Genomic DNA, 13,668 nt, shown 5'->3' with positions numbered 1-13,668 from the left:
GCAAGCACATGAAATCATCAAGGGCTGGCATTTGATGGGTAGAAGCAATGGGATGGCAACATGGCAAAATAGTTAGGTGCTCCTCAGCAGACTTATTACATGAAACACAGTGTCATTTTCCAGAGTAGGTACAACAGAGGCACCGGGTTGAATGTATACTCTCATGGGCGCATGATGTAAGCCTCAGTGAGGTCAAGCAACAGGCATAATAGGAGAGAAAGAAGAAATGATGATAAATGGTAGGCTGAGGTCAATGAATACACATGTTGGTGAGGGATTAGAGTGGTGGCAGGATTCTAAGCCAGGACACAAACATTCAGGGAGTGACTCAGCTACATGTGGTTGACTGGTGTGGTGGAGAGTGAGTCCTGGGAACTTTGAGGCTGCTTAGGACAAGAGAAACATAGGGAAAGAGAGGAAAACCAGGAGCAGAAAATCTTCAGAAAACAATGTGAGTGTGGGAAAGATTAGAAGATGATGAATAGGAATACATCAGAGGGTGCTGGGAGATGGAACCACCCCCAAAACAGGGGATAATGACTAGGAATGCATCAGAGGGTGCTGGATGGATGGAACCACCCTCAAAACGGGATAATGAATAGGAATGCATCAGAGGGTGCTGGATGGATGGAACCACCCTCAAAACAGGGGATAATGAATAGGGATGTGTCAGAGGGTGCTGGATGGATGGAACCACCCCCAAAACGGGATAATGAATAGGAATGCATCAGAGGGTGCTGCATGCATGGAACCACCCTCAAAACGGGGGATAATGAATAGGAATGCGTCAGAGGGTGCTGGATGGATGGAACCACCCCCAAAACAGGGAATAATGAATAGGAATGCATCAGAGGGTGATGGGAGATGGAACCACCCCCAAAACAGGGGATAATGGGATAATGAATAGGAATGCATCAGAGGGTGCTGGCAGGAGGGAACCACCCCGAAATAGCTGAGCTCCTAACATCAAATCGGAGGGCCATCTTCTGATAGCAGTACTAGAAATCAAAGAGAACACAAACAGTTTACTTCTCATGCAGAGAGAGGGATCAGGCTCATGAGTTTTGGTGCAGCAATTAGACTCCAGGAGTCTCCTGGTTGTTCAGGGTTGGAGGCTGGAGCCACATCACCTCAGATTCATTATACTTCCAAGGCACTCATATCCTAGGTGAATAGGGCTATGATGAAATTCATTGCATTATGGAACTGCATCCAGGGATTGGAAAATTGGTGGCGTCTGTGGGGGATTCAGGCATTTTCCTGTTTATTCTTTTTTTTCCAATGCGTCTGACTTTTGGGACATTTCTATATCATCTGCCTTTTATGTCAGTGGTGCTCAAGAAAAGAATGCTTTTTCACACACACAAAAAAAGCCTAGATCTTTTTTTAATAGCATATTGCTCCAAATTTTCAGTCTCCTAAATCTGTTCATCAGACCTCAACTAGCTGATGAATATCACTGAGTGGAACAAATGATACTTGGAATGTGTTACCTAAAAAGTTATCTCTAAAAAGTAATAAAGACCATTTTAATTGATAGCATTATGTTACCTTTAGATGATATAGAATCCTGAGTGTATTTCTTTATTAGGGAAACTTAATTTTAAAACATATTCAAACCAGAAAATACATCTTTTATTATTATAATTATTAATCTACATTGATTCAAATTTCAAAAAAAGTACCAAAATCCAATTTACCAATAATCAAATTTCACAACAAATGATTAGCATGAATATTATCTGTTTTTCCCACATAGATTCACTTTATAAGTAGTAATGTGGGCATCATTTTCCTTAACAGAGAAGACTTCAGGAGATTTACAAAGGGGATGTGAAGATTTTTTGCCGTCTTATTCTTCTATGTAATGAAAGTCCTACCAAGAGTCTTCACTGAGAATTAGGGAGCAAACATTTACTTTTTCCCCAAAGTCCGTAGGAAATGGAATATCTGTCTAAAATGTTTCCCTATTCCTAGCTCGTCTGTGTTACACAAGGCCCCATTTTATGCACTGAGAGAGAATGTGAGCTGCAGGTACATTTTTTCCTAGTGTAGATATCAAAGTATTTAACTATTTATGAAATAATGCAAATTACTCTTTCCTACTCACCCACTTTAAGGTTGCATTGCTGCTCCGCCAGGTGCCACCCAAGCCTGGTTGTGAAGTTGATGAATCATGTGGTCACATAACCTGTCAAATCGGTTTATGAAGTCACCTCATGTAATGAAATGTGACCCACTGGAGTACATCAATTACTGGAAAGGCTTATTGTGGTGGACACTGGTAGAATGTGTGGTTTTCCCATTAGACATCTCTAATTAGTACTGAGAGGGTCAGGTTTCATGTCCACAAGGAAAAACTAGAGCTAGTGTAATTATAAAATAGAGAAAGGAATTCCAATAAAAACTAGTGAACCACAAATCAGACAAAAATTACATATATGAATGTACACACACTCTCACAAGTGTGATTCTCTATTCCAGATCCCTGTGGTTGTCAGGGAGCGGACTCTCAGGCTGCAGAGCCATCTCTGTGTCACAGGCCATGTGGATGATCCCATGGGGTGCAGAGATTTGCGTCTCCCTCACTCATGACACACTGGTCCCTGCAACATGTCGCACCTCAACTTCTGGACACCCTGAAGCCCTTCACGACGTGTGTTCTGCACAAGGAAACTGCTGATGAAAGTAAAAATTCCACATCCAAACGGCCACTCAAACCAAGCGTAGGCACGCGGTACCTTACAAGAGCTGTGAGATATCCTTCTCTCTGCTTTAAGTGTCTCTGAATCCAAAGAGAACATTTAAGGAGACTACAGACTGATTCCCTGTGTCCTTCAAGTTACCTTCATTCTGTTGTAAAACCTATGGCCTCTTTATCCACTGACAGAAACCCTAAGGACAACCCAGGTATTTCTAGAAAGTCTGTGGTTCCTAAGTGAGGATGAAAGGAAGAGGTTGTGAAAGGTGAGGGCCAGCCTGCGGCTGTTGTTCAGAGACCCTACTCAAGGCCACCACGTTCTGGAGCGCCCTCCCCATTCAAAAACAGCCCATGCACACGACTATGCACTAGCTTGTCTCAGTGCCTGGAATTTTCCCCAGATAAAGAGATGCTTTGCAATTGCAAATGCTTTCCTGAGGGAGTGGCAGCCAGGCAGAGGGGGAACGGCAGCCTTTGTGTCTGAAAAGCAAAGTTTTAACTGGAACTTCACTTCCAATTACCTGATGATGAAAAATAAACACAATGAAATACTTAAGTATAAATCAAACCAAACATGTAAAAGGTCTGAGTGCTGAAAATTATAAAACACTGATGAAGTCTAAGATCTAAATAAATACGAAACATGCAGGGTCCATAAACTGGAAGACTCAACATATTAAAGACGTGAATTTTCCCTAAATTTATCTACAGGTTTAATGCAATGCCTATCGAAACTCCAGCAAGAACTTTTTTGTAGAGATAGATAAGCTTATTCTGGACTTTGCATAGAAAGGCAAAAGGCCTAGAACAATTAAAACTAAAGCAATTTTGAAAATTTTCACCTGCACTAGGTGAAGAATTCTTAGATGTGACAGTAACAGCATGATCCATACATTAAAAATTTGCTAAATTGAACTTCTTCAAAATTAAAATATGTTTGTTCTCCAAACAACCATAAAAAGGATGAAAAAACAAGTAACAGCTTGGAGAAAATACTTGTGAACAACAAATTTGTCAACGAATTTGTAAGTAGAATATATAAAGAACTTAAAGAACTCTCAAAACTCTGAAGTATAAAACAACAACAGTAACAGCACACCACCCAATTAGAAACTTGGCAATAGGTACAAACAACCATTTCGCTACAGAGGGTGTGAAAAGATGCCCAATATCTTTAGCCATGAAGGAAATATAAATTAGAATCACTCTGAAATACTAGGACACATCTGCCAGCAAGGTGAAAATACCCACTGCTGGTGAAGCTGCAGGGCCACTAGCTCACTCCTACACTGCTTTTGGAAATGGAAAGTGACAAAGCCATTCCGGAAAACAGTTTGTCAGATTTTTAAATAAAAAATGCTTGTTATACAACCCAGCATTTGCACTTTTGGACATTTGTTTTAAAGAAAGGAAACCTGTTAGTGACACAGAAATCTAGTCATGAATGGTCATAGCAGCTTTACTCAGAATAGCCCTCAACCAGAAACAACCAAGTTGTCTTTCAGTGACTGAATGGTTAAGCAAAGCATAGGCCATCCATACCATGGAAAACTACTCAGCAATGAAAAGGAAGAAACCTCTGATGCTTGTAACAACTAATATCCAGGGAATTATGCTTAGTGAAAAAGCCAATCTCAAATTGTATATGCCACATGAGCCCATTTATATAATTTTGTTGGAATAAGAAAGATACAGAGATTGAGAACACATAAGTAGTTGCAGGGAACTGGGATGGAGATATAACTGGCTGCAGAGGGAGATCCTCTAAAACACGGGTCCCCCACCCCCGGGGCTATGGAGCTGTACTGATCTGTGGCCTATTGGGAACTGACTGAGCAGCAGGTGAGTGAGCATTCCTGCCTGAACTCCACCTCCCGTCTGATCAGCCATGGCATTCGATTCTCACAGGAGCACACGCCCTATTGTGAACTGTGCATGTGAGGGATCTATGTTGCACATTCCTTATGAGAATCTAACTAATGCCTGATGATATGAGGTGGAACAGTTTCATCTCAAAAAACCATCTCCACCACCCCTGTCCATAGAAAAACCATCTTCCACATATCCAGTCCCTGGTGCCAAGAAGCTTGGGGACCACTGGTCTAAAGCAATGACTCATCTGTCTACTGATGGTGGTGGTTCTAACACTCAGGATCAAATTGCATGTAACTGCACACGCACACACACATCACACACATACAAATATATGCATGAAAAACTGGTAACAACTGAATAAAGACTGTAGTCCAGTTAACCATATTGTGCCAATGCCAGTTTCCCAGCTTTGATCTTATTCCAGATTAATGTAAGATGTCCTTATTGGGAGAAACTGGGTGAATGGCTCAAGGGACTTCATAGACTGTTTTTGAGATGTCCTGTGGGTCTATAATTATTAAAAAACAAAATGTTAAAAAGTAAATATAGCAAAAAGTAACAAGCCAAATGGTTATTCAAATACAAAGAACACATGCATATATTTTAACTTTAGTAATTCAAGGGATAGAGATTGCAAGAGTTTTTTAAATAAAATACATATTTGCTAATTCCCACTTGCCAATAAATAAGTAAAAAAATTGGAGAAAAGATGAATCAACTTAAACATAAAACTAAAGAAAGAGCATCATGGAAATTATGGTTATAGAACAGAAATAATTATTAAATATGACAATGGAGAAATAGGAATATAAGTAATAAGGTCAGAAGATATAGTAGGGAAGGATTATCTTAATCACAATTTAAGATTTTAGTTATTTTATATTTCAATGGAATCGATTTTGGGCTAAGTATAAATAAGATTCATATTAATCTTTCAGTTACTCTTGTTGTTTGAGAACCTTTAAAGAGCATTTGGATTTTCTAATTTTGTTGATGGGTTTCTTTGCTGTGCAGAAGCGTTTTAGTTTCATTTCAGATCATTTTTCCAGGTTTGCTCTTGTTGCCTGTGGTTTTGGTGTGATATCCAAAAAATTATTTCCAAGGTCAATATCAGGAAGCTTTTCCCTTAGGCTTTCTTTCAGGAATTGTATGGTTTCAAGTCTTATATTCAGGTTTTAAATTCACTTTTGATTTGACATTAGTGTATGGTGTAAGGTAAGGGGTTAACTTACTTCTTTTGCCTACGAATATCCAGTTTTCCCAACACCATTGCTGAAGAGATTATCCTTTCCTTACTTACGGTGTCTTCTAGGTGCCTTTGTAAAAATCAGCTAACTATACATGCTTGGATTTATTTCTGGGTTCTCTACTCTGTTTCACTGGTCCATGTGTTGTTTTTATGCTCACCATATTGTTCTGATTATCATAGCTCTGTAATGCAACTTGAAATCAGTAAGTGTGATGTATGATGCCTCCAACTTTTTTTTCCTGTCAAGATTATTTTATCTATTCAGAGTCTTTTGTGGCTCCATAAAAATTTTAGCACTGTCCTTTTATATTTGTAAAAAAATGCTATTAAGATTTTGATAGGGATTGCACTGAATCTGTATATTGCTATGGCTTTATGGTCATTTTAACAATATTAATTTTTCTAAATTATAAACATGATCTATCTTTTCATTTATTTGTAACTTCAATTTATTTCATCAATGTTTCATAGTTTTCAGTGTAAATTTTTTTTAATTTGGTTAAATTTATTTCTAAGTATTTTATTCTTTTTTGATGCTATTATAAATGGAATTGTTTCCTTTATTTTTTCTCAGATATATTTTTATCAGTGTAATTAAATGCAACTGATTTTTTTATATTGGTTTTGTATCCTGCTACCTTACTGGACTTATTTACTAGTTCTAACAGTTTGTGTATGTGTGTGCATGTGTGTGTGTGTGTGTGTATGGAGTCTTTAAAGTTTTCTAGCTATAGAATCATGAAATCTTTAAACAGGCCTAATTTTACTTCTTTTTTTTCTAGATGCCTTTTATTTATTTATTTATTTACTTATTTATTTTTTGTCTGAGTGTTCTTTCTAGTACTTCTGGTACTATGTTAAAAAGAAGTGAAAAAGTCTTTTCCTTGTATCAGATCATAGAGGAAATGATTTCAGTTTTTCCCAATTTTTTATGCTGTTAGCAATAAGCTCTATATAAATGGCCTTTATTATGTCAAGAAAATTGTCATATACATTTTTTAGAGTTTTTATTATAAAAAGTTGTTAAATTTTGTCATTCTTTTTTCTGCATCTGTTGACATTATGTGATTTTTGTCTTTATTCTTCTAATATGATGTATCACATTGATTGATTTGCATAGTTAAACCAACCTTGCATGCCAGAGATAAATCCTACTTGTCATGGTATATAATCTAGCTATAGATTGGAAGAAAGTATTTGTAAACCATGTATCTGTTAAGAGGTTAACATTCAAAATTAATAAGGAACTCACAAAACTCAATAGCAAAAATAAAACATAATCCAATTTAAAAAATGGACAAAGGACCTGAATTGACATTTTTCGAAAGAAGAAATAAAAATGGTCAAGTATGTGAGGAAGTGCTCAACATCACTAATAATCAGGACAATGCAAATTAAATTAAAATCACAATAGATATCATTTCACTGTTAACATGGCTACTGTAAAAAGGAGAAGAGACAACAAGTGTATGGAGAGGGTGTGGAGAAGAGAAAACACACGGTTGGGAATGTAAATTGGAATGGCCATTATATAAGGAAACAGTATAGAAGCTCCTTAATTTTTCTTTTAGGGCTATGATGTTATCCAGCAATTCTTCTGGTTACATATCCAGGGAAAAGGAAATCAGCCCCCCTTGAGGATATCTGCACTCCTGTGTTCATGGTAGCATTATTCACAGTGGTCAAGATATAGAATCAGCATAAGTGTCCATAGGCAGATGAATGAATGAAGAAATTTAGGGTATATATAAAAAAAATATTCAGTTTAAAAGAAGACAGAAATACTGCCATTTATATAATGTTGGATCTTAGAATACTTTCAGTTTCACATTTTGTGCCTCCTAACACTCCACCAAAAATATCCTTGATGTGTTTTCATCTTTAAGGGTATATCTAATCAATTTACAATATATACCTTGTATTCTGGAATTAAGTTTGAGCTCAGCATAACAAAAAATGAAATTATGTTCTTTGCAGCAACATGGATATAGCTAGAGGCCGTTATCCTAAGTAACTTAACAAAGGAACAGAAAACCAAACACTGCATGTTCTCACTTATAAGAGGGAGGTAACCATTGGGCATTCAGAGCTGTAAAGATGGGAATAAGGTACACTGGGGACTACTGGATGGGGGAGGGAGGGAGCGGGGAAAGGGGTGAAAAACTAACTCTTAGGTACTTATCAGTAGCTGAGTCACCGGTTTATTTGTACCCCAAGCCTCAGCATCACACAGTATACCCAGGTAACAAACCTGCATATGTATCCCCTGAATCTAAAATAAAGGCTGAAAAAAATCTTTGGGCTCAGCAAAAAGTACTACATATATAATAAAATCTACTACTCACCTATGGGAAGGGCAAACATGCCTTGATATCTCCCATTTGCCCACATTAGAAAAATCCAATTCTCAGGTAATTTAAGGGAGGAACCCAGAGTCATTTGGTTAAGTAAAGGCAGAGCATGAGCTAGCCCCTTAACTTCAGGACTAATGTCATCTCTGTTTTTATGTCATGTAATATCCAACTTTTCTATTGGGTCCTTTTGTCCCCTTTAACATCATTCTGGTTGATTCTGCGATCATCATCATCATCACCATCATCTTCTTCATCACCACCACCACCACCATCATTATCATCATTATCATCTGTCAACACTTTCTCTGAAGAACCTTACAATGTCTCTTCTCCATTAAGAAAACCTACTTCAACATCTCCATTGGTTCTCAACATAGAGGTATCATTTACCCTTCCAAATTTCTTTCTGAAAATATTTCCTCAGGAATATAGGAAAAGAAATATGAAAAAAGCAACATAAAATCAACTGAGGCATGGATGAAAGTGCATATAGATAAATCTCTTTGTCTAGTTGAAATACTGTCTTACGATATTGACAGGAAGGATGCTTCCACAAATTTTGGCAAACTAGAAATGGAAAAAAGTTTGAGATGGATGTTAAAGTGTTATTTGGTTGTGTGTTATATTGGGACACAGTTAGAGGTAAAAGCAATGCTGATACTTAAGATTTAAATACTATCTTATTAAATGTTGTTGCTTAAAAAGGTGACTCATATTTAAAAAAATGTTTTTTCACTATTTTCTGCATTTGTGCACATAGATATTCTCCCTTACTCTTCTACAAAAGTCACCCATATTCTCTTTGTATTATCTTACCTTGCTTTGTCTTTAGAGAAATTCAGATTGTAGTATATATTTAATTTTTTATTGTTTGTTTTTCCAGTAAAGGGAAGCACCATGATGACAAGAAATTTGCTTTATTCATATTGTTTGCACAATAATATAAATACTAGACTCAATTTACAATTCAATTCTTTTTTGGTGTTGGTTTCTGTTCCTCACAATTTATCATTAAAAAGCAAATATATACATAAAGACATATACATAAGCAAAAACAAGCAACAAACATATACATAAGTGAAAAACAACAAAACCTCACAACATCACAATTACCTTAATCACTGCTTTCCTCTGGTTTATAGCCAAGGGTGAAAGAAGTCCCACACACCCTCACACACACACCAAATGTGGACGTGATAATCTCAAAGAGCATCTGAAAATACTGATTTATTGTTTTACTCTTTAAAATGACATAAACATTTTTAAGTCGTACACTCAAAGCAAACAAAAATGCACATGATATAGATATATAATCTAATCAGTTCTATCATTTATATTCTTTAAAATTCTTTATTTTCAAAGATGTTTAAAATACACCCCAAGAAAACCAACAATCATGAGATTCTTGATTGGGAATCAAGAATCATATGGAAAATGGGAAATCATAAGCAGTACAAATAGTTACATGGAATTATTGATGTATATAGGCTATGAGATACTCCTGCATTCCCTTTAATAAATGGAAAATATTTAAAATTGGTATTTTATCATGGAGATTATGTTTTAATCAGCCTCAAATCAAAGATGAACTGTCATAAGTAGCCTGTGGATAAGAATCAAATAAATATTGGCATGTTTTGCAGAGAATAACATTTGGGAAACAATCCCTTTAGAATGATTGGTCAGCTTCAAGAGCAGGAAAATATGCTAGGGTCATGTGCCATGTGACACTTTTAGGAAGGACTGCCTGCCATTGTGTTCAGTAAAAGCTATTTGACCCTTTTAAAATTAGGAAGGGATCACAGTAAAGGAGAAAACAAAGGCAAGGTTTGGATCACAATGGGTGGTTTCACGGAGAGGCTGATAAACTCAAAGGCACGCCAGCAGCCCCTCATTTGTCAGGCCTTACGTCACTTAAAGTTATGGCTGATTCATTAGGTGTCCTCTGAGCCACCAGGTAGACTGTCATAGGAAACCCACAGTAGATTTCTGCAATGCAATCATTAAAAAGATGCATGGGCCCCCATGTTCCCTGCTAACTTTCTTGGTTGAAGTCCAGTGACTTACAACTTTCATTCTTCTAGGTAGCAGGGATATTTGTCAGCTGTTATGACTGGACTTCCAGAGTTACTCAATTTACAGTATCTATAGTGGAGTGAAAATGAATGAACATCTGTACATTTGCTCAGATACTATGTCAGGCAATACAAAATTAGCTGTCATAACAAGTCCATAAAGCCTTAACACACTATTTATCTTGCTCAGTTTATAAAGTACATAAACTATGGTAACCTGATCTGAGCGGGCTGTCTTTGGAGGACAGCGTGATCCGGTAGCAATGAGAATCTCCTATGGATTTGACCCTGCTGAGAAGTTTTCTTCACCCATATGTTCTGTCCTTTGATTTGCATGCTTAACTCTAGGAAATACGGCCATCTCTTTAGTTTTCCCCTTGATTCTTTTATCTTCTTTTAAAAATTCATTTTAAAAAAGGGTTGGAAGTCTCTCTTTTTATTTAAATCTCAACCCTGATTATATTCAGATTAAGAACTGTTTTAATGGAAAAGTATGAGAATGAATGAAACCACCCTTCCAAAGTAGTTTATAAAGAGTGAGAAGTCAAGAATTTAAAAGTCCCTCCCCCGCACACCTTTTTTTTTTTTTTTTTTTTTTGAGATGGAATCTCTCTGTTGCCAAGGCTGGAATGTGCAGTGACATGATCTTGGCTCACTGAAACCTCTGCCTCCCAGGTTCAAGCGATTCTCTGGCTGCAGCCTCCCCAGTAGCTGAGACTGCAGGTGTGCGCCACCACACCAGGCTAATTTTTGTATTTTTAGTAGAGACAGCGTTTCACCATGTTGGCCAGGCTGGTCTTGAACTCCTGATCTCAGGTGATCTGCCCGCCTTGGCCACCCAAAGTGCTGGGAATTCAGGCATGAGCCACCACGCCCAGCAAAAAGGCTCCTTCTTTGATGGGACCACTACAATTTAAAAATCATTAGAAAAATGTTCCTATCTGCTTCAAATGAAGGAATAAGGTGATGTGCATTCTTGAGCTACTATTGGACTGTCTCATTGTTGACTCTTGTTAGTTTCAGAATTTCCAGCCCAGAGCCCATAGATGTGAGAACTTTTTTAAACTATAGAGGCTAAAAATCTAAAACTTTAGATTTAGTATGGAGAGATTTAGACCAGTGGCTTCACAGTACGATGTGAATATCACTTGAATTGCAGGATCTACTGGGCTCCAGGAAAAAAATTCTACAACTTTTTCTGTATTTATTTTAATCTCAAAAATGAGTATGCATACTTAATATGTGGGTTGACCTTGGGCCCATCCTTTGTCAAGGTCAGATGATGGTCTACAATTAATGGTACTCAGGTATCCCAAGCATGGTAGGGTTATACCACTAACAAGATGCTGGCTGCTTTAGTTGTTCTGCATATATCATATTGTGACTTAGTGCAGCTCAGCGGTGTCCATATACAAGGAAAATTTGTTTTCAAAAGTCCTGCAAACGTTGGAGCTTGAAGAAATTCCTAATACGCTATGCATGAAAAAGCTACAAGAAAATGTCTTTGAATGGGCCTATTGTCAACCATGTTACAACAAAATGGTGCCTTAATTATGATTATGAAGAAGGTGACCCCAGCATAATATGAAATTATCAAGTAAATTATTTGAAATGTAAATATCATTGCCACTATTTTTAACATTAATTCTTACCCTTTATGAAGATTATGCCTTGAAAAATGAACTATTGACTGTGTGAAACCATCTCAATTGGCAAAACAATTCAAAATTAAGCATCTGCAACATGATGATAGCACACCTCTACCAATCTTCAGGCAGCTAAACATTATTACTTCATGGAGGCCTTGGCTGAAGTTTATTAATCTAGTTGGGGGAGGCTGCCTTGCGCAGAGGGACAAAAGGAAAAAAAGGTTTAGTTACCATATCATTGTCTTTGCATTGACAAAAATTTACAAATTGGGATAATTTTTCCCATATTGGATGATAATATGACAAAAATTTACAAACTGAGATAATTTCTCCCATATTGGATAATAATATGGGTATCTTAAACAGATTTTAGATTGCAATATTTGTTTCAGTAATGCAGTTCTTAAAGATGTACTCATGTGTATGCCTGGGTGTAAACCTCAGATAACTCAAAAGTTGATACATGCAACACCAGCAGTCTTCTTTAACCAAAACATAGTATCAAACGAAAACAACAAGTACAATAAAAACTTACAAAATTGTAAGTGTAATCACTGATGAAGTGGCTACATTTCCTAGAATTGGGACAGGGTGTTGGAGGTGAGGGGGAAGCCAAAAATAAAAGAAGAGAAAGAAAAAAGATTCCCAACTAAAATTATCAAGATAGGACCATATGTGAAATTTATCTGCTACATCATTTATAGACAAGCTCTGACCAGTTAAAATATTGAAGACAGAAGTGCCCAAGTGCACAGGGTATCTTCAATATAGTTAATTTATTTTGTAAAAGAGATACCATGAAAGGTTTGCAAAATGTTTAATAAAAGGAAAGTTGTAATGAAAATCTTTTCTAACACAAAGTATCTATGATGCTTAAATACATGGGACATTTTTAACTTAGGAGTTAAATGTATAGATGAGGGATACAGTTTTCTTCTATAAAAGGCAAATGTTGCAGCTTTGCCAGTTAGCTCTGAGATGGGAGCAGGCTGCCAGCTTGGCTAACTGGGCAGATATTTTTAAATAAATTGGAATGCTTGGTTTAAAGTGGTGGCAACTTTTAAAATGAAATTGTAGTGAAAAAAGCAGTGACTGATTTTAAAGAGAAATGTTTTCTACGACGAGCGAACATTTGAAAAACACATAATAGCTGATTTTCATTGTGTAATTTGTTACAAAAAATGATGTAAATCTGTCACCTTTAAAAATTCCTCTAACTGAACAATTCAACTTGGGGAAAAATCTAATTATTTAAAAGTCTTTCACATGAGGATCAACAAAATATTGGACATCTTCTGGTAATATTTAATTTTAGAAGACTATTCTATTTCCTTGCAATAATAATTGAATGACATAGGAAAGAAGGAAAATATTAGGCAAATTTAACAAACACTCGTATAATTGGTATGTGAGATTGAACAATTTATTCTTCTTCTTTGCGTGCTTGCTGTTAGAATGTAGCCGTAAACAAACCTCTTTCATGTGAACCACTCATCTCTCAAAGTGACATTGGCCAGCCCCGGAGAGACACTGAAGTCATGAATCAAAATAAAGAAAACCTAGAAGCCAACTTTCAAATGACTAAATCACAAAACATAAAATCAGGAGTTTGAAAAAGTGTATTCAATTATATTATTCATCTAAAAATATAATCATCACATATTACATATTTTCATGTGGAAAAAACATTTCTACTATTGATAAATAAAATTATTTTAAAATATATTTTTTGTTTAATTTCTATGAAATGCAGGTGATGTGAGTA

At 36.4% G+C, this 13,668-nt stretch overlaps 1 long non-coding RNA gene across 28 annotated transcripts in view, besides 1 other annotated feature; it reads left to right on the top strand.

Annotated features, from left to right (window-relative positions):
* LOC107986400 (uncharacterized) overlaps window positions 1–13,668 on the top strand; it is a 137,038-nt gene that overhangs the window by 8,957 nt on the left and 114,413 nt on the right. For 16 of the 28 annotated variants that reach the window (XR_001742563.1, XR_001742579.2, XR_007059117.1 and 13 more), the window contains one exon: window positions 8,491–8,558. The exons of 9 other annotated variants lie outside the window; for them this stretch is intronic. This is a non-coding gene — a long non-coding RNA (uncharacterized LOC107986400). Of the gene's footprint in view, window positions 1–7,802; window positions 7,934–8,490; window positions 8,559–13,357; window positions 13,480–13,668 lie in introns of those variants that run through there. 3 more of the 28 variants (XR_001742573.2, XR_001742575.2, XR_001742578.1) reach the window with 2 other exon arrangements.
* Window positions 2,848–3,349: an enhancer, noted in NCBI's record as "NANOG hESC enhancer chr5:4855061-4855562 (GRCh37/hg19 assembly coordinates)". NCBI's record gives its function as "activates a minimal SCP1, AML or CMV promoter by ChIP-STARR-seq in naive H9 embryonic stem cells {active_cell/tissue: H9 hESC(naive)}" and the evidence as "EXISTENCE:reporter gene assay evidence [ECO:0000049][PMID:30033119]".

Source organism: Homo sapiens, chromosome 5, assembly GCF_000001405.40.
Source record: "Homo sapiens chromosome 5, GRCh38.p14 Primary Assembly".
In the NCBI taxonomy this organism is placed as follows: domain Eukaryota; kingdom Metazoa; phylum Chordata; class Mammalia; order Primates; family Hominidae; genus Homo; species Homo sapiens.
This window is presented reverse-complemented; position numbering and strand designations above follow the sequence as displayed.